The sequence below is a fragment of the Homo sapiens genome, chromosome 22 (assembly GCF_000001405.40).
Source record: "Homo sapiens chromosome 22, GRCh38.p14 Primary Assembly".
Lineage (NCBI taxonomy): Eukaryota > Metazoa > Chordata > Mammalia > Primates > Hominidae > Homo > Homo sapiens.
In genome coordinates, this window is record NC_000022.11 from 35,624,878 (window position 1) to 35,644,426 (window position 19,549).

The 19,549-nt window shown below is 49.5% G+C and overlaps 1 long non-coding RNA gene across 6 annotated transcripts, besides 3 other annotated features; it reads right to left on the minus strand.

The window, feature by feature from the left end:
* LOC284912 (uncharacterized) lies at positions 2,699-13,057 on the minus strand. Of its 6 annotated transcripts, XR_938216.2 has the most exons (6): positions 12,500-12,973; positions 12,229-12,331; positions 10,310-10,492; positions 10,078-10,204; positions 6,537-6,616; positions 2,699-2,782 (listed from the first exon to the last, which is right to left on the minus strand). It is a non-coding gene; the product is annotated as an uncharacterized LOC284912 (long non-coding RNA). The 6 variants fall into 6 exon arrangements; XR_001755513.1 differs by lacking the exon at positions 10,310-10,492; XR_938218.2 differs by lacking the exons at positions 2,699-2,782; positions 6,537-6,616 and adding an exon at positions 9,029-9,104.
* Positions 9,281-9,410: an enhancer, noted in NCBI's record as "active region_18911". NCBI's record gives its function as "activates an Ori minimal core promoter by ATAC-STARR-seq in GM12878 lymphoblastoid cells {active_cell/tissue: GM12878}" and the evidence as "EXISTENCE:reporter gene assay evidence [ECO:0000049][PMID:35858748]".
* Positions 13,225-13,726: an enhancer, noted in NCBI's record as "H3K4me1 hESC enhancer chr22:36034149-36034650 (GRCh37/hg19 assembly coordinates)". NCBI's record gives its function as "activates a minimal SCP1, AML or CMV promoter by ChIP-STARR-seq in naive H9 embryonic stem cells {active_cell/tissue: H9 hESC(naive)}" and the evidence as "EXISTENCE:reporter gene assay evidence [ECO:0000049][PMID:30033119]".
* Positions 13,727-14,226: an enhancer, noted in NCBI's record as "H3K4me1 hESC enhancer chr22:36034651-36035150 (GRCh37/hg19 assembly coordinates)". NCBI's record gives its function as "activates a minimal SCP1, AML or CMV promoter by ChIP-STARR-seq in naive H9 embryonic stem cells {active_cell/tissue: H9 hESC(naive)}" and the evidence as "EXISTENCE:reporter gene assay evidence [ECO:0000049][PMID:30033119]".

Below are 19,549 nucleotides of genomic sequence, written 5' to 3' on the forward strand. Positions count from 1 at the left end.
GGGAAGAACTTTATGTGCCAGGCTCAGGTGATGCCTGAGCAGCGTTTTGAAGGATCAATAGGAGCTTGTTAGGAGCAAAGTGAGGAAGGGATATTCCAAGCACAAGGACCAAGACAAGGACTTGGGGGCTCAGAACGGATAGTCACGTTCCACAGCACTCATGCTCACCTGGTGTGTGCCAGGCTCCGTGCTGGGCTCTGGGGGGACTAAGGTGACACCGGCTGGCCTCCGAGCATTGAGAGGTGGTAGGAGGGAGGGATGTGTGACCTAATGTTGTCAGTACTTTCTGATAAGGGCAATAATCGAGGTCATTCAGCATAGGGCTAAAGGCTTTGGAATGAGACTCCTGGACTCGGCCCTACCATGCACTACTTTTGTGATCCATGAAAAGTATCATAACTTTCCAAGGTCTATGCTTTTGTTATCTATAAAGTGGAGATTTTGAAAAGAATAACCTATCTTAAATATCATTGTAAGGATTAAAAGAGGGAGCACCCAGCATGGTGCCTGATACATAGTAAGTGCTCAATAATTGCACACTGTGATATAAGGTAGAGAGAAATCATGGAGTAGGGAAACATTAATTCCACCAAGGAATTAACATGTAACTGAGAAGGTGATGTCCGAGCAAGGTTTTGAAGGATCAATGGGAGTTTGTTAGGAGCAAAGTGAGGAAAAGACATTCCAAGTACAAGGATCAAAACATTCAAGGACATAGAAGTTGGTGTGTTAGGACTAGGTTTGGTTGTTGGTAACAGAAAACTCAAAATAACATGGCTTCAGCAAGAGAGTATTAATTTCTCTTTCATATAGAAGTCTAGAGGCAGGGGATTCAGAGCTGACATGGCACACCACAGTCTCGGGGACCCAGCTTCAATCTACCTTAGTGCTCTGTCATGTTACACATATGGCCTTCACCTCCTCATCCAAGATGGCTGCTTGAGCTCCAGCCATCGTGCCCTCATTCCAACCAGCAGGAAGGAGAAAGGGGTGAAGAAGGTTGTGCCCCTATCTTAAAGAACACTTTCCAGAAGTTGTAATTAATACTTTATCTTGCTGCGCATCCAATGGCCGTACCTCACTGCAGAGGAGGCTGGGATATGTAGTCTTTATTTCTACATGGCCACATCACCAGATAAAAATTGGAGTTTCTACTACTTAGAAAGAAGTGGGGAAGGTATATTAGATGAAAATGAGCGATTTCTATCATAGGAGACATAAAATAGCATGCTATGCAGGACGCATAAATATTTTGGTGTTTCCGTGGTGGAAAAAGTGAAGGGGAGAGTGATGATTACAGAAATAAACAGAGGCCAGGCATGGACAGCCTTGGGAGCCACAGACGTGGGGGCGTGTCCCCAGGGAGAGCCACAGAAGGGTTTCCGAGCAAGGGAGAGCCATGGTCTGATTTGCTGTCCTAGAAACATCACACTAATTGCAGATGTGATTAACATAATGGAGGGGACACGTCTGGAGCCAGGAGGCATTTCTCCCTAACATTTTATTATAAAAATTTTCATACATGCAGCAAAGTGGGAAGAATCTCACACTGAAAACCACCTAAACTCTACCACTGGCATTTTACTAAATGAATTTAATCATGCTTCTCTCTCCCTCTACGCACCCATCCATTCTTCTTGTTTTGTGGCATTTTAAATTGCAGACATCTATCTGATTCCCTGCAGAAACTCCACAATACATGACATGAACAAGAGTTCAAAATTTCTTTGCATTTTCTGTTTTGCTGTAAGATGTAAAATTTACATTTAATTGCACATGTCTTAAATATACATTTGCTGAGATTTGACAACTACACTCACTTGTGTAGCTCAAACTGTATTAAGTTAGAGAACATTGTCATCACCCAAAGTTCCTGCACGCCCCTCCCCAGTCAATCCTGGCCCCCTCACCTGCCAGAGACAACCACTGTCCTGATTTTTTTTTTTTGAGGCGGAGTCTCAATCTGTCACCCAGGCTGGAGTACAGTGGTGTGATCTTGGCTCACTGCAACCTCTGCCTCCCGGGTTCAAGCAATTCTCCTACCTCAGCCTCCGGAGTAGCTGGGACTACAGACACATACCGCCACACCCAGGCTAATTTTTTATTTTTATTTTTAGTAGAGACGGGGTTTCGCCATGTTGGCCAGACTGGTCTCAAACTCCTGACCTCAGGTGATCCGCCTGCCTCGGCCTCCCAAAGTGCTGGGATTACAGGCATGAGCTACTGTACCTGACCTTACTTCTTTTAAAACCACAGATTGGTTTGGGGAAGGCAGACATTTGAAAGCCTGTTGGGGGGCCATGTACTGAGTGGGGTGGGGTTCGGAGCTGAAGGAGAGGCAGGGCAGAGGGAGACAGGATTTCCAGGGCTTCCCTGCAGGTTGAACTTGGAGGCTGGAGAGAGTCATTTAACCAGAGTGCCCGTCATCTGCTGCCAGGAGTTGAGTTTCTCGCTGAGTGACCGGGCAGATGGTGGCGCCATTTACTAAGGTGGGGTACCCAGGACGAGGACGGGCCGGGGGTGGGTGGAGACCAGTTTCCTTTGGGACACGTAGCATCGGGTGTTCAAGGGGCATGTGCCTGGCAGTTGTAGGGATACACAGCCATCCCCAGGGCAGCTCCTTTCTTCTGACCCCTGTGGAGGTGTGAGCTGTCCTCTGGTGAGGTGGTGCCAGGGAGCGGTCGCCAGGTTTGTCCACCTCCTTCTTGGCCAGCCGGCACCAGCGTGTATCGGGCTCCCTTCACCAGGAAGGGGAGGTGCTCTCCTCGGTCTACCCTGAAGGCTGCACAAGGGGCGTAGAGAGGGCATGGGTGTGGTTACTTCTGGGTGGCAGGACATGGGAAAGGAGACCTTACTCCTTAGGGGAAGCTGGGGAGCTCAGGCGCCCGTCTGGGCAGTCTCCAGGCCAGGTCCTCTCCTTCCTTGTTCCCTCCCCAGCATTCTGCAGCCACACACATTCTCTCTCCCCAGGCACCGCCCATCCCTGTCCCAACACCTCCCACCATTCCCTTGAAAAACAATCAAACCCCAGCTCCCCCAGGAAGGAGGCGTCAGAGTCAGCTCTGCTCCAGGGAGGGCCCCCCAGGGAGGGGGCAGGAGAAGCAGAGAGGGAAAATGAAACCACGGTCACCCTGGGCTGCAATTAGGTTTTCTCTGGTCTCTCTCAAATCAAACACAACCCACAGCAGAGCCATTTCTTCCTTAAAAGCCCATTTGTGGTTCATGCCTGTAATCCCAGCACTTTGGGAGGCCGAGGCGGGTGGATCACGAGGTCAGGAGATTGAAACCATCCTGGCTAACACAGTGAAAACCCATCTCTACTAAAAATACAAAAAAAAAAAAAAAAAAAATTAGCCGGGTGTGGTGGCGGGTGCCTGTAGTCTCAGCTACTTGGGAGGCTGAGGCAGGAGAATTGCTTGAACCTGGAAGGCGGAGGTTGCAGTGAGCCAAGATCACACCACTGCACTCCAGCCTGGGCAAGAAAGCAAGACTCTGTCTCAAAAAAAAAAAAAAAAAAAAAAAAAAGAAAGAAAAAAGAAAAAAAAAAGCCCATTTGGTCCTCAGGAGATATTGCTATTCTTCCCATTAGCGTGAGTTGGACTCATTTCTTGGGAATCAATGCCCCATCCTTATTCTGCTAACACAGGATTGGGTTCCCCTTCCAGAGTTGCATCACAAAACATCCTGAATTTATCTGGCAATTTGGAGAAGCCTCAGTTTACCCCATCGGGCTGAGGGTTACAGTCTAAGCTATAGGAAGTGCCAGCGTAGAGGAGGCAGCAGACGTCACCTGGGGAGGATGTGAGGGAGGAAGAGAAGGACCCTTGCGGGGGTCAGCAGCATTTCAGAATTGGGAAGAAGAAGAGGAGGTGGGGAAGAAAACTTCCTAGAGGGGACGACAGGGTCAGGCCTGCATTTGAAGGGTGGATGAGAAGAAAGCCTCATGGGAGATGAGGAGGACTACTAAGGGCTTCTTATGTACCAGGCTTGGGTGAGGGCAGAAATACAAATATGGCTGCCTACACTGGTGTGTTAGCATACTAGCTGCTGTAACAAACAGCCCCCAAATCTCATGATGTGTCCTTAGCCATGGCTCAAAAGATTTCGTTCTCATTTATCTCCCAGTCCAATGTAAGCTGAGAAGAGGGCTCTCCTGCACCCAGTGATTCAGGCACTCAGGCTCCCTCCCCAAGGACTTCCAAAACCCCCATCCCTCTGCATCCAGCAGGCAAACCGCTGGAGAAAGAAATGAGGGTGGGCTGGGCAAGGTGGCTCACGCCTGAAATCTCAGCACTTTGGGAGGCAGAGGTGGGTGGATCACTGGAAGCCAGGAGTTCGAGACCAACCTGGCCAACATGGTGAAATCCTGTCTCTACTACAAATACAAAAATAAGCCTGACATCATGGTGGGCGCCTGTAATCCCAGCTACTCGGGAGGCTGAGGCAGGAGAATCACCTGAACTCGGGAGGCGGAGGTTGCAGTGAGCCGAGGTCACGCCGCTGTACTCCAGCCTGGGCAACAAGAGTGAAACTCCATCTCCCAAAAAAAAAAAAAAAAAAAGGGTGGAGGATCTTGTAAGGGGTTTTAGGGGGTATGCCTGAAAGTGGTGCTCATTGCTTCTGCCCAAATTCCATCAGCCAGATCACAGCCACAGGCACCGCTTACTTGGAGGGAGTTGTGGGAATGAGGTCTCTCTGTGTGCCCAGGAGGAAATGAAACAGGGTTTGGTGACTGTACGGCATTGCCTGCCCAGTCATGGCCCAAGATAATAATAATAATCTAGTGGAAAGATGAGAAAGGGAAGCTGGGAATAAAATATTTATATAAAGAATGCACCCTAATATTCCACACAGCACATAATAGGTGCTCAATACTTTTTCAAGTGAGTGCTGTATCACCACTGATCAAATACACAGGCGCTGGGGCAGGTTCCAGGGGCTGGGGAGAGGGTTGATGGCACAATAGAGGCATGAAAGGTGGTAAGAGCAAAGTTAGAGAAGCAGGAATGCACGTGGAATGTTCAGAAAACCCAGAGAAGACCAGTTTGGCTGGGTCAGAAGTTTTGTGAAGAGGATGGGTCACGGAGGCAGTTGGAATGTAGGCTTGGAGGGCATGGGGAATGATTTTGAACTTGAAGAATGTTGGCGGCTCTCAGCAGGCCCTGAGGAGTGGCTGTGGTTGTGGGGTGGGGTGGGGGTTCCCAGGCATCCTGGATGAATCATCAGGGTCAGTTAAAATTAGTCACCACGACCCCGCAGGGGAAGCCAAAAGACAGTTGTGTGGCTTATGTGGTAGCTGGGATTTGCCTCGCTGGGGGATCTTTGGCCTTCTTAGTTTGGAGATGGGGGAGCAGAGGAGGGAGAGGAGAGGAGGAGGAAGAGGGGAGGAGGAGGAGGAAGAGGGGAGAAGGAGGAACAGGGGAGGAGGGAAGGAGGCGGAGGGGAAGGAGAAGAGGAGGGGGGGAGGAGGAGGAGGGGAGGAGGAGGGGAGGAGGAGGAGGAGGAGAAGGAGTCCCACTCCACCCTGCCCCCATGATGTGCGAGCACTAAGATGGCCTGGGACAGAACTGGATACGACACAGTTTGGGGAGCTCTTCTGAAGGCTAATAATGGTAAGTTCAAGTACACATAAATGTCTTTCTCTCTCAAGGAACAGTCCCAGGCTTAAAAGCCTTGTGGGGCTGCTCCACCAAGCAGCCCTGGTTCTTCCTGTGGCATTGCTCAGCCCCGACCCACACATCCACATTCCAGCCCCAGCCAGCAAGGAGGACTGGGAAGGGAGGGCACATCCCCTCCTAAGGGAAGGCCCACACTCAGCTCAGTCCTCACTGGCTGGAATGTGGTCACATGGTAAAGCCGGCTGCAAGGGAGGCTGGGAAGCCTCTTTAACTATGTGGCCATGGCACAGCTAAAACTTGGGGATCCTATCATTAAGGGAAGAAAGAGAGAAGGGAGACAGTGTATCTAAGCAGAGAAGCCTGAGCTTTTCCTGCTGGTTCCCCGTGGATTGAGGGTATCGTGCAGGGTCTGACATTCCCGGGTGCTCCGCTGAGGGGAGGTGGAGTTGTGGAGGTGGCTGGTGGTCCCTGGAAAACTGGGAATTGAGACAAAAGAGCTCTGAGCCCAAAGATTCAGCACGTAGACGCAAAAGGTCCTGGCCATGAACTTGACAGCACAAGACCACAGAAGGCCCGGTGGACCAGGTACACCTCAGCAGGCGTCCAGGTCCCCAGAACAAAACAGTCATCCTGGAGCAGAGAGCAGGGACCTGGGGACGCCCCAGCATCTGCACACCTGTCCAAGGGCCCATCTTCCCGCCTTTGCTCTCCTCCCATCTATCCAGCACCATGTTGGAGAGGAGTAGGTGTGGAGGTAGCCAAAGGAGGAAACTGAAATACTGAGTATATACCAGGAAGACTAAGATGCCATTGTTGGCTCATCTAAGTTGCCCCCTGACACGCTGCAGTGAGAGAAGCTTAAAAACAAGAGGCAGTGTCTTACAGTGGTCAAGGGTGTGGATTCCGGAGCTAGACTACCTGCATTTGAATCCTGGTTTCACTGCTTGCTGTGTGACCTTGAGAAAGTTACTTAATCCCTCCGTTCCTCCTTTCTCCATCTGTCAAATAGCAGTAATTAGAACCTGCCTCAGAGGGTGTTGTGAAATCTGAACTACTTATAATACTTAAAACTATACCTCGTACGGAGTAAGCACTCAATACACATGGGCTATTGGTCTCAATTATAGATAATAAAGAAAACACATTTTTAAAACATCTGCGTTGAAATGATTTAAAATTTTACCTGTTACATGATGAGTGAATAAGAGCTGTGAGGCCGGCGAGGGCAGGTACTGTATCTATCTTGCGTTGCCATTGCTCAGTTCAGGGCCAAGTTCATGACAATGCCAGCCTCACCACCACCACTTGGGGCGCCACACCCTAAGCACATACCACTGGCCTGTCTGGGTCCAGTAGCTTTGAGTCCTTTATAAGCAGTGGCTCATTTAGTCCTCATGACCATCTTAACTAGGAGGTACTTGGTAATAATTGCTGAATAAAGGAAATGCCTTCCACCCAGGACAGGTGAATAATGGATGGAAAAGTGCTTTGTAAACTGTAAAGCAGGCTACTTGTGAGGATGCAAACACTTAGGACCCCTTCCCCAAGGGCCTAGGATTCTGTTCTACTTTCGGCTTGGCTGTTACCTTGGGAGGAATGCACCCTGTGTTCTAGAATTTTCCCTCCACATGTCCCTCTTTCAAAATGTAGCTGTCTTGGTGTTCGAGACCAGCCTGGCCAACATGATGAAACCCTGTCTCTACTAAAAATATAAAAATTAGTTGGGGGTGGGCCAGTCACGGTGGCTCATACCGTTAATCCCAGCACTTTGGGAAGCCAAGGCGGGTGGATCACCTGAGGTCAGGAGTTCGAGACCAGCCCAGCCAACTAAAGTAGAGACAGCCCGTCTCTACTAAAAATACAAAAAATTAACTGGGCGTGGTGGCGGCACCTGTAGTCCCAGCCACTCAGGAGGGTGAGGCAGGAGAATCACTTGAACCCAGGAGACAGAGGTTGCAGTGAGCTGAGATGGCGCCATTGCACTCCAGGCTGGGTGACAAGAGTGAAATCCATCTCAAAAAAAAAAAAAAAAAAAAAAATTAGCCAGCCTTGGTGATGCACACCTGTAATCCCAGCACTTTGGGAGGCCGAGGTGGGCGGATCACCTGAGGTCAGGAGTTTGAGACCAGCCTGGCCAACATAATGAAACCCTGTCTCTACTAAAAATACAAAAATTAGCCAGGCGTGGTGGTGCCCACCTGTAGTCTCATCTACTCGGGAGGCTGAGGCAAGAGAATCGTGGAGGCGGAGGTTTCGGTGAGCTGAGATTGTGCCACTGCACTCTAGTCAGGACAACAGAGTGAGACTCGGTCTCAAAAAAAAAAAGTAACTGTCTTGTGTATCATTTTTCCTCACAGTTTGTCTTAGTAGTAACTGAGGGAAATTCACCCTTCTCCCGCCCCTGACCTGAGGAATTTTCTTTCAACAAAGGCCAGGAAAGGCTTGATATTCAGCCCCAGAGGAAGGACCCTTTACTCCTATTCTGCTGTAGACTGGACTCCCTGACACTCTGGCATTATGCCCTGTGGACTCATCTGCTTCCACCCTCCCCAGCTGTGCAAAGCCCATGCACTGAGGGCCTCCCCACGGGGCACCTTCTCCAAGGAGGCTCCCCAAGATCCCCAGCTCCAAGTAGACGTCTCCCTGCAGGCCCCATCCCCTTCTTCCTGGCAGGATACTAACTATGGCCCTTGTCATAGCTCTGTGGGAGGAAACACTGTCTTTATTCATTGATTGATGGATGCAGTAATTCATTCATGAATTCACTCAGCGATACCTATTGAGTACCTCTTCTGTATCAGGCATGACAGCCACAGTGCAAACATAGTGGCCAGCACATAGTAGGGGAACAAACACTGACTGAATTTCAGGTGCCAAAGCCAACATGTGGGGGAGATATTTGGAGACTAGGGGTCTCTTTCTACTCTGCTAATATACACACTGCCTGGGTGGGTGAAAGGCAGTGTTGCTTTTCAGTTTATAATGAAGGAAGGAAGGGAGAAATGAGAGGAGAGGGAGAGAGAGAGAGCGCATGTGTGTGTGTGGGGGGGTGCGTGTGTGCGTGTGTGTGCGTGCATGTGTCTGTGCATGTTTGTGTGCGTGTGTGCATGTGTAAGTGTGTGTGCGTGTGTCCATGTATGTGAGTGTGTGCGTGTGTCAGTGTGTGCGTGTGTCCATGTATGTGAGTGCGTGTGTCAGTGTGTGTGCGTGTGTGAGTGTGTGTGCGTGTGTAAGTGCGTGTGTGCGTGTGTGTTAGTGTGTGTGCATGTGTGCTTGTGTTCACACGTGTGTGCATGTGAGCCCGTGTGTGCAAGAGTGTGTGCGTGTGTGTGTGCGTATGTGTGAGAGTGTGTGTGTGTGCAGTGTGCCTGGACGTGCTTATGTAAGCATGTGCCTGGGATCATGGATGTGTCTCTCTAAGGGTGTGGCGCCCAGATCTTCAAGGATGTGGAGAATCACTCCGTTTGCTGAAGAAGGGAGTACTAGCTACGGGGAAGAAGACAAATACATACACAGCAGGGTGAAAACTTGAACAGGGTTCAGGGCAGGGAGTGGCTGAATCATAGGGTGCAGAGCGGTAAGAGATGGATGGTGATGCTAGACAGGTGGGCAGGATCCAGTTGTAGAAAGCTCTGACATCATGGCCAAATCCTAACCACCCTCTAAGCCCTGACACAAAGGACACGCCCTCCAGGAAGCCCTCTGTTGTTGTCTTTTGTTGTGTCTGTTTCACCAGCACCCTCCCCTTCTTCCCTATTAGGAACTTGCTGCATTTGGCTCGCCCTGCCTCTTGACCACAGTGACTTTGCTTCTGAACTGAAGTTCAGAGATGGACACATGGTCAAGCCAGACAAAGCCGAATCTTCCCTGAGACTTTTCTGATAGAGTTCTTGGAAGGACGTTGCCATGTAGCAAGGATGTGAGTTTGGGATTGCAGGTGGCCCCTGGCCTGAAGAACCAAATCAAACAGAGACAGGGGACAGCCAAGAGGTTCAGCAAGATGGAGCCCTGATGATTTTTTCTAAATCACAGGACCCAGCTCTACCTAAAGCCAACTGCACTCTGGACCTTCCTGCTAAATCATTCGTTCATTCAACAAATAGCTATTGAAGCCAGGCGCAGTGGCTCACACCTGCAATCCTAGCACTTTGGAACGGCGAGGTGGGTGGATCACTTGAGGTCAGGAGTTCGAGAGCAGCCTGGCCAACATGGTGAAACCCCGTCTCTACTAAAAATACAAAAATTAGCTGGAAATCGCTTAAACCCGGGAGGCAGAGGTTGCAGTGAGCCGAGATCATGCCATTGCACTCCAGCCTGGGCAACAGAGCGAGACTCCATCTCAAAAAGACAAACCAAAACAAATAGCTATTGAATGACTACTACATTCATCAGAAATCTCTGGAGAAACAGAACCAATAGGAGAGTTAGGTAGATCGATTTATTATAAGGAATGGCTCACGTGATTGTGGGCTGAGAAGTTCCATAGCCTGCCATTTGCAAGCTGGAGACCCAGGAAAGTCAGTGTTATAATTCAGCCAGAGTCTGAAGGTCTGAGTATCCTGGGAGTAGATGGGGTAAAGCCCAGTCTGAGGACAGAAGACAAATGTTCCAGCTCAGGCAGTGAGGCAGAGAGCAAATTCCCCTTCCTCCACCCTTTTGTGTGATTCAGGTCCTCAGTGATTGGATGATACCTGCTCACGTGGTGGAGACCATCTGCTTTACTCAGTCTACTAATGCAAATGCTAATCTCTTCCAGAAACCTCCTCACAGACACAGCCAGAAATAATGTCCAACAAAATATGTGGGCATCCCAAAGCCCAGTCAAGTTGACACATAAAGTTAAATACCACACCTACTGTGTGCAAGGCACAGTCCTAAATAGTAAAAATACAGCAGTTAAAAAAAAAGTCAAAGATCCAACCAAATGGAGCTTACACAATAGTACGAGGGGATGGATAGAAACACAATAAATAAGATAAATAATAAAAATAGAAAGCATGTTAGATGATAAATCCTATGGAGAAAAATAAAGCAATAAAGTAGAGAAGAAGCATAGAGAATGTTGAGCAGAGAGTGGGAGATTCTTTTTTTTGAGACAGAGTGAAACTCTGTCTCAAAAATGGAATCTCACTCTGTCGCCCAGGCGGGGGTGCAGTGGCATGATCTCGGCTCGCTGCAACCTCTGCATCCTGGGTTCAAGCAATTCTCCTGCCTCAGCCTCCTGATTAGCTAGGACTACAGGCATGCACCACCCCACCTAATTTTTGTATTTTTAGTAGAGATGGGGTTTTGCCATGTTCCCAGGCTGGTCTCAAACTCCTGGCCTCACGTAATCCACCTGCCTTGACCTCCCAAAGTGCTGGGATTACAGGCGTGAGCCCCCACACCCGGCCCTTACTTTTTATTTATTTATTGGAGACAGAATCTCACTCTGTCACCCAGGCTGAATTGTTCAGCAGCACAATCTCTGCTCACTGCAGCCTCAGCCTCCTGGGCTTCAGCAATTTTCCCACCCCAGCCTCCCAAGTAGCTGGGACCACAGGCACATGCCACCATGCCCAGCTAATTTTTGTATTTTTTATAGAGACAGGGTTTCACCATGTTGCCCAGGCTGATTTTTAATTCCTGTGTTCAAGTAATCCAGCTGCCTCAGACTTCTCAAAGCGCTAAGATTACAGGAGTGAGCCACTGCGTCTGGCTTAAAATGTACTTTAAAATTTAATTTAAATGTATTTGATAAAGATTTGATAAAGATTCAGTGAGATAAAGGAAATATTTGATAAAGATTCAAAGAGATAAAGGAGAGAACTACAGAAATACCTTGCGGGGTGGGGGGAAAGCATTTCAACAGAGGGAATAGCAAATATAAAGAAAGGCCCTGACGTAAAAGTATGTCTTACTTATTCAAGGTACAGTCACATTCCATGAGCCAAAAGTGATTTCTGTCACTTGCAATCAAAACATTCCTACCAGCCGGGCATGGTGGCTCATGCCTGTAATCCCAGCACTTTGAGAGGCTGAGGCCGGCAGATGTCCTGAGGTTGGGAGTTCGAGACCAGCCTGACCAACATGGAGAAACCTCATCGCTACTAAAAATACAAAATTAGCCAGGTGTGTGGCGCATGCCTGTAATCCCACCTACTCAGGAAGCTGAGGCAGGAGAATTGCTTGAACCCAGGAGGCAGAGGTTGCAGCGAGCCGAGATCGCACCATTGCACTCCAGCCTGGGCAACAAGAGCGAAACTCCATCTCAAAAAAACACAAAACAACAAAAACAACAAAAACATTCCTACTAATATAGTTTCCCTGATCACCCCTCAAGAAGCAGACCCTCTTCCCTCCCTCCCAGCTGCCTGCTATCTGTGCCCCTGGCCACATTTACTATCAGTGCTTCACACAGCTGCCTTTATTTCAAATCATTTGTTATTGAGAAACATCATTAAACACCTACTATGTGCAGCATGCATGCTCACAGCCTGACATCGATACTGTCTCCCATTTATGAGTGCCATCAGGAAAGTTCAGAAAGGCTCATTTTTCCCAGGGCCACAGTCCCAGCAAAGGGCAGAGTTGGGATGCAAACCCAGGCTTGTCCAAGCCCAAAACCCACATTTGCAGACTTGGCATCCCAGCTCCATCTCAAGTTGAAGACACTGGGCATATGTTCTGGAAGAATGTCAACTTCTCCTTTGGAACTCAGGTGCAATTCAAGCCTGTAAGGAAAGCAATGCTTTCAATAACAAAGCTTCGGCCAAACAGTACAGCAATCGCTTTACACACAGCAGCTCATTTCATTTCATAAAGCCCTTGTAAGGCAAGGTTTGCTATGTGCATTTTCAGGTGAAGAAACGGAGGCTCTGATGACCCTGCTGCAACCTCACCTGACTGGTCTGTGCGGCTCCTTGTTCCCACGGGTTCTTAATCCCCTCCTCTGAGTCCTGCAAAGCACTTTGCATGGGGCTAGGCTTTGCTCTCAGCAGCCCTTGCTCTCACCAGAGCACCCCCCGAGCTGAAATCCCTGAAGCCCAGAAGCCCCTCTGCAGAGCCAATGCAGTCCCTAGAAAAGATGCTGGCTCAGATGGAATCTTAACCCTGGCTCCCTGTCCCAGTGGGAGATCTGAGCTTCCTGGGGGTGGCCCTGTCAGAGCTGACATCCCACCCACCCTGCTCTGTCCCCTGCAGTTCCTGAGGGGCTCATCCTTCCCTATGTTTGAGTTTCCATCCTCCCACCCCACCCTAAGGCAGCCAGGCCACTCCCCGAGACTGGGAGCCCACTCCAGCCTGGGAAGCCTGGGTTTAGGTGCAGAAGGTGCGTCAAGCTGGAGCTGGAAATGCAGTGATCTTGTGCAGGCTTTGGCTTCTCCACTCACTTGTGAGCCTCAGGGTGGGGGCCAAGTTCAGTCTCTTAGTTGCTCCTCTACCCAACAGGAGGCTTCCTGACCTCATCAATGCTCTCAGAGACAGTGCATTAGTTTACCAGGGCCGCTGTAACAAACGACCACAGCTTCGTGACTTAGAACAATAGAGATTTATTCTCTCATAAGTGTGGTGGCCGAAAGCCTGAAATCAAGGTATAGCAGGGTTGGCCCTGCTGGAGGCTCTGAGACAGAATGTGCTCCATTCCTCCTTTAGTGTTTGGTGGCTGCTGACAATTCTTGGCTTGCAGCTGCGTCATTTCAGGCTCTGCCCCCATCTTCACATGGCCCTCCTCCCTGTGTGTCTCTGTGTGCTCTCCTTTTCTGTCTCTTTTAAGGACATTTTCATTGGATTTGTTCTTAAATCAGGGATGATTCCATCTCAAGATCCTTAATTACATCGGCAAAGACCCTGTTTCCAAGTAAACTCACATTCACAGGTGAAGGGGATTAGGACTTGGACATCACGTTTTGGGGTCACTCTTCAACCCACTGTAAATGGGAAAACGCAGGCTCAGAGCAGAATGGATTTGCTCAGGAGCCACGGTACATTTGGGCAGCCGAAGGACTGCCCTGCTCTCCCGACGCTGGACCAGTGCTCTGCCTCCAGCCCCGCACTGCCCCGGGTTTCCAAGACTCTCTGGGAATGTGTTCAGTGAAAAAAACATCTGGAGACTGTCTGTGCTCAAGAGTAACTGGGAATGTCATCATGGGAGGGAGTTTCCTTTCCCGGATGGCTCGGTGCCTGGGGCCCTGGCTGGCGTGCAGGCCTCACTCTGGTGAATAGGCCATGTCACACCCTGATCACAGAGTCGCTGCTCTCGTCCACTGCTCTGCAGAGGCCAGAGTCAGCCCCAGACGCAATGAGAATGGTGAGAGGACTGAGGTCCCCCTGCTCTCTGGGTCACTTTCTTCTCGGGAGATGCTTCCTGCTCTCTTTGGTGAGAACAAGAGAACACTGCACAAAATTTAAACTGATTAATTCTGACTCTAAATCCTTGGCTCTTAGAGACTTCACGGCAGTATGGTTAGGATTCTGGCCTCGGAACCCAGTCTGCCTGGGCTCAGGCCCCAGCTCCGACATTTGCTGAACATTTAGTCTTGGGCACAGTTTTCTTCTCCAAGCCTCACTCCTCTCATCGGTAAAACAGGACAATGGCAGACTGACCTTTTAGAGTTATTAAAAGGATTAACCAGCTGGGCACAGTGGCTCACACCTGTAATCCCAGCACTTTGGGAGGCTGAAGTGGGCAGATCACCTGAGGTTGGGAGTTCAAGACCAGCCTGACCAACATGGAGAAACGCCGTCTCTACTAAAAATACAAAATTAGCCAGGAGTGGTGGTGCATGCCTGTAATCCCAGCTACTGGGGAGGCTGAGGCCAGAGAATCGCTTGAACCCGGGAGGCGGAGGTTGCGGTGAGCCAAGATTGCACCATTGCACTCCAGCCTGGGCAATAAGAGCTAAACTCTGTCTCAAAAAATAAATAAATAAAATACATTTTTTAAAAAAATGATTAACCTGAGCACATATAGCAATGATCGCAGAGCCCATAGTAAGACCAGCAAAGATGGCTACTGCTATTGCACCATTCATTATGAGCCTGAGGTATAAATAAAGGCAAGCATCTCTGTAATCAAGTTCATAGGACTCCCAGCCCTCAGCTTATCCTTGCTAGAAGATTCTCTCTTCTCCCCAGCCATCACGCCAGCGCCATTCAGTCCCAGGGCTTTGCTTTTCTGTGCAAATCAGAATTCATGTCCACACCTTAGGGAATGACTACAGACCATGTCAATATTGGTTTGAAGAACTTCTAAGAGGTGGGGAGGGATAGCATTAGGAGATATACCTAATGTTAAATGATGAGTCAATGGGTGCAGCATACCAACATGGCACATGTATACATATGTAACAAACCTGCACATTGTGCACCTGTACCCTAAAACTTAAAGTATAATAATAATAAAAAAAAAAAGAACTTCTAAGAGAAAGAGGTGGAGAGATCAGCTCATCTGATGTCGTCATCTGCATTCAGTGCTGGTCCGCAATGGGAAACAAAAGAGGTATGTTCTTGCCCTAATAAAATAACCTAAGATTAGCCCATAACACCTATCGCCAAGGACAGATGCCTGTTAGGCCCCTTCTTGTCATGTGTGCTCCCCTCTCCATGGCGCTCTGAGCACAGGTCAGTGGTACAGATCTTTGGGGGACAAGCTGCTTGTAGGGGCTATAGGAGCCTTGTCCATCTCAGCATCGATGCAAGACTCCTGCTCTGGTCATCTACAGGGAAGGAGCGAGGGGACTTATTCCCTCTTTTTTTTTTGTCTTTTCTTTTTTTTTTTTTTTGGAGACGGAGTCTCACTCTGTCGCCCAGGCTGGAGTACAGTGGCACGATCTCAGCTCACTGCAACCTCCGCCTCTCGGGTTCAAGCAATTCTCCTGCCTCAGACTCCTGAGTAGCTGGGATTACAGGTGCCCACCACCACCCCCGGCTAATTTTTGTATTTTTAGTAGAGACGGGGTTTCGCGATGTCGGCCAGGCTGGTCTCGAACTCCTGACCTCAGGTGATCTGCCCTCCTTGGCCTCCCAAAGTGCTGGGATTACAGGTGTGACCCACCGCACCCAGCCGACTTCTTCCCCCTTAATTCAGAAGACTTCCTGGCCTCTCTGCAAATTTGCCTTGTCCTTAGACAGTAACCCTTGAGCTCTGCACAGCACAAGATAAGATAGGAATTTGAGTAGTTCTGTGTCAAGTCAAATACTTGCCTTCTTTCCCATGGGATTTTGGAATCTAAGCTTTAAGAATTTTAGAGACTTAAAGAAAAATAATCTTCACCTTAAATGCAGAAACGTGTGGGACCTCCTGGCAGCCCAGATGTGGCTGTCACCAGGCACTGCCTTGAGCCTAACCCTAACCAGCCCTTCTTCAGGGCCACAGTAGAGTATCCAGGCCCACAGTCAGAAGGAGCTGGCAGCATCCCAGGGCCATAGGGAGACCATCCTGACTGGATGCCAGGCAGCAACAACCAAATAAAACCCCATTTGCTTTGTGGCTTCTGCCCTGGTCCCACAACTTGCCAGTGCTTTCTGGCCCATTTGGCCTCTTCCCGGCTCCACACCTCCTCCATTGTCAGATGCTATGGTTTGCCCTCTTGCCCCAAAAACTGCTTCTCCTAAGGACTGGAGCTTGTGTTCTGTCCTACCTGCTTTGCTCATGGAGGACTGCTCAGTTTAGCTGCCAAGCCCCACCCCTCCACAGGCCCCCACCCTCTCTGGGATTCTGGTGCATGCGATTTTCTCCAACTCATTATATTTGAACCAGACCTACTATGAGCTGTGAAATTTAGGTCCCTCGGAGTCAACAAAGGTTCACTGTGCTAGGTGCTAACTGCCAAGGAGAAAAGATGTAGGTCCTGCTCTGATGTCACCTAGCAATGGGTAGAGAGGTGGGAGAGCTTAAGCTCATTGCCACTGAAGCTAAGTCCCTTAGATAAGGCAGGGGGCCAGGATGAGAGTGAGGGAAGACACTGAGAGCAACAGGAGGCAGCCAAAGGACCAGGCAGATGGGGCAGGTCCTTGGTGAAACCCTACCTTCAAGCCAAAACACAGCCTGAAGGCTGAAAGACCAGACTTCTGGTCCTGGATGAAACCCTCAACCCAGAGTGAGAACATCTGTTCCTGTTTGCCCACCCTTTCCCGATTGATTCTTTCTGAATAATGCTTTGTAGCAGTGGAATGTTGCCTTTTCTAATACTACCTACAGCCTGCCCCTCCCCCATTCTAAGCCTATAAAAGACCAGACTCAGCCACAGTGGAGGAACTTTCCTGCCTTTGGATAGGGGGGCCACCCACGTGTCACCTCTCCACTGAAAGCTGTTTCATCACTCAATAAAACTCCCCACCTTGCTCACTCTTCAATTGTCAGTGTATCCTCACTCTTCTTGGGTGCAGGACAAGAACTCGGGAACTGGTACACAAGCCAGACTCAACCACGGTGGGCCGACTGAGCAGGCCATCTCATGCAGCAGGTAGCATGGCCAAGAGAGGCCCAGGTGGGGCATTGCCGGCCAGAGGTCCCCGGCTTGCAAAGTGACCAAGAAAAAATCCTGTGTCAAAACCAATGTATATTTTTTGTGATTGGCCTTCTTGGGATGCAAGGGGCAGTCTGAAAAAACAATCCACAGGGCTGGGGAGCAAATAAGACTTGGATACAAAGCGACAGAGATGCAAAATACTCTTTGAATCATAGCATCTCAGCAAGAATCACAGAATGGTAGATTCTAAGGGTCATAGGATCACAGCCAAGAAAAGGACCTTGACTTATCCAGGGAGATCCCCTTGTTTTGCAGATGTGAAAATGGAGGCTTAGAGAGGGAGGGGCCCTGGTGTTTCAAGGGGAGCCTGCCCTGTCCCACACTCATTCCTGAAGGCTGAGGCTCCTCCTGCTGGAAGACACTCCCTTCTGGAGCATCATGAGGTCACAGGGGATCCCTGGCTAGCCAGCCAGAGCCCAGCTGCCCACACTTGCAGGGGAAACAGCATGTCCATAGCCACAGTGGGAGCAGAACTAGGTCTGCTGCTCCTCAGTGGCCTGGTGGACTTTCATCCCTGGCCACAGCAAGGCTTCCTGGAGCCACAGATTCAGATGGCCTGTGGACTTTCATCCTTGGCCACAGTGAGGCTTCCTGGAGCATGTCCAGCAGTTCCCTATGTACAGACACAAAGCCTCTGGGGGAGATAACACCATCTTCAGCCCAGCAAAGAGGGAGTCCCGATGGTCGTGGAGGGCAATTGCCAGAGGGGCCCATTCTCTGTGATGCATGTGGAGTGATGGGAAGCCCAAGCCTAGAGAGGTTATAGGAAATCCTAACATGGATTCTTCTAGCTGGAGCAGAGTGGCTGCTAAGCCAGGGTACTCAGGGCACCCAGAGGCTCCCACCTTGGAAGACCAGCTGCCAGGAACATGCCACTTCACAAAACGCTATCGGGGGTCTCTGGGCCACATCAGAGGTAGCCAGCCCTTTAATACCTGACACCCCCTCCCCCAGAGAGGGCATTCGCCAGCTGACTCCTACAGAAGAGCACCCCTTTTATTGGGTACCCTTTTTACCTCCCTCCAACCTCATGGCTCAGTGAGGACTTTCTGGATACTAGAATACTGCTTTTGTTATCGGAGAGGTAATGTAACCTGGACTGAGGGATCAGAGAACCAAATAACCCCAGCCACAGAGACCAGTGGGATATGGAACACAGGTTAACCTAGAGAGACCTTTCCAAAGAATTTTCTTACTGGATCTGGTGGGGAAAATGCTCTTGCATCTCCAATCCAGGAACTAGAAGGACATGAATTGTAATAGACTTGAAATTCTCTTCTTTCTGTTATGGAAAAAGCCCACCTGTAGTGGGACAGAATGAGGCTGGAAGAGAGAGAGAGAAAGAGAGAGAGAGACAGCGAGAGAGCTACAGTGGGGCTCCTGGTCCCTGAACCTGGAGCTGCCTGAAACCTTCTGGGTTTTCCTTTGATTCTGTGAACAGGTCAGTAGCTCTCGAGCATTCTATCTGTGACCCATTTCACAGTGCAATCCATAACACACACACACACACACACACACACGTAAGTGTGTGCATCATCACTATATGGACATAATTTCCATGAAACACTACTTATACCCTTATTATGTATGATATACTCTGATATTTTTTACTTTATCTCATTTCATTTTCTTTCTTTCTGTCTGTCTTTTTTTTTTTTTTTGAGATGGTCTGTCTCCCAGGCTGGAGTGCAGTGGCACAATCTCGATCACAGCTCACTGCAGGCTCAACCTCCTGGGCTCAAGTGATCCTCCCACCTCAGCACCCCCCATCCCCCATCCCCTCAACACACACACCAGTCTCTAGGACCATAGGCGCACCACCACACCCGGCTAATTTTTGCATTTTTTTGTGGAGACAAGGTTTCACCATGTTACCCAAACTGGTCTGACTCCTAGGCTCAGGCAATCCTCCAGCCTCAGCCTCCTAAAATGCTGGGATTACAGGCATGAGCCACCATGTCCAACCTCATTTCCCTTTATTATTTCTTGAGACCCACTAAGCTGATTTCATGACACTGTAAATTGTGACTTGCAGTATAAGAACAACCAAGCTGGATAAATGGCTTCCTTGTTTTTGCTTACACTGCTCCAAGATGATGTGTCACTTGCAACCTGCTAACCAAAATGCCAACTAACCTTGCCTCTTGCACAACCTGTACCTCCTGTTCCAGCCCCTGCCCACCTCCACCCCACCCCTGGCCAGGCTACCACAAGGAGAGCAGTTTGCAAACTCACTGATCATTCAGCCACAGAGCAGAGATGTGGACTTCTGTGATGTGTTTTAGTGCAAAGAACTGGAGGTAGACACATTTGGGTTCTACGCCTAACCCTAGTCATGTCAGACACTGTGATCTTGGATGAGGTCCTTGGACCCATGAACATCAGTCTTGGCAGCTATATATTGGGCTTGTGCTCCCTGCT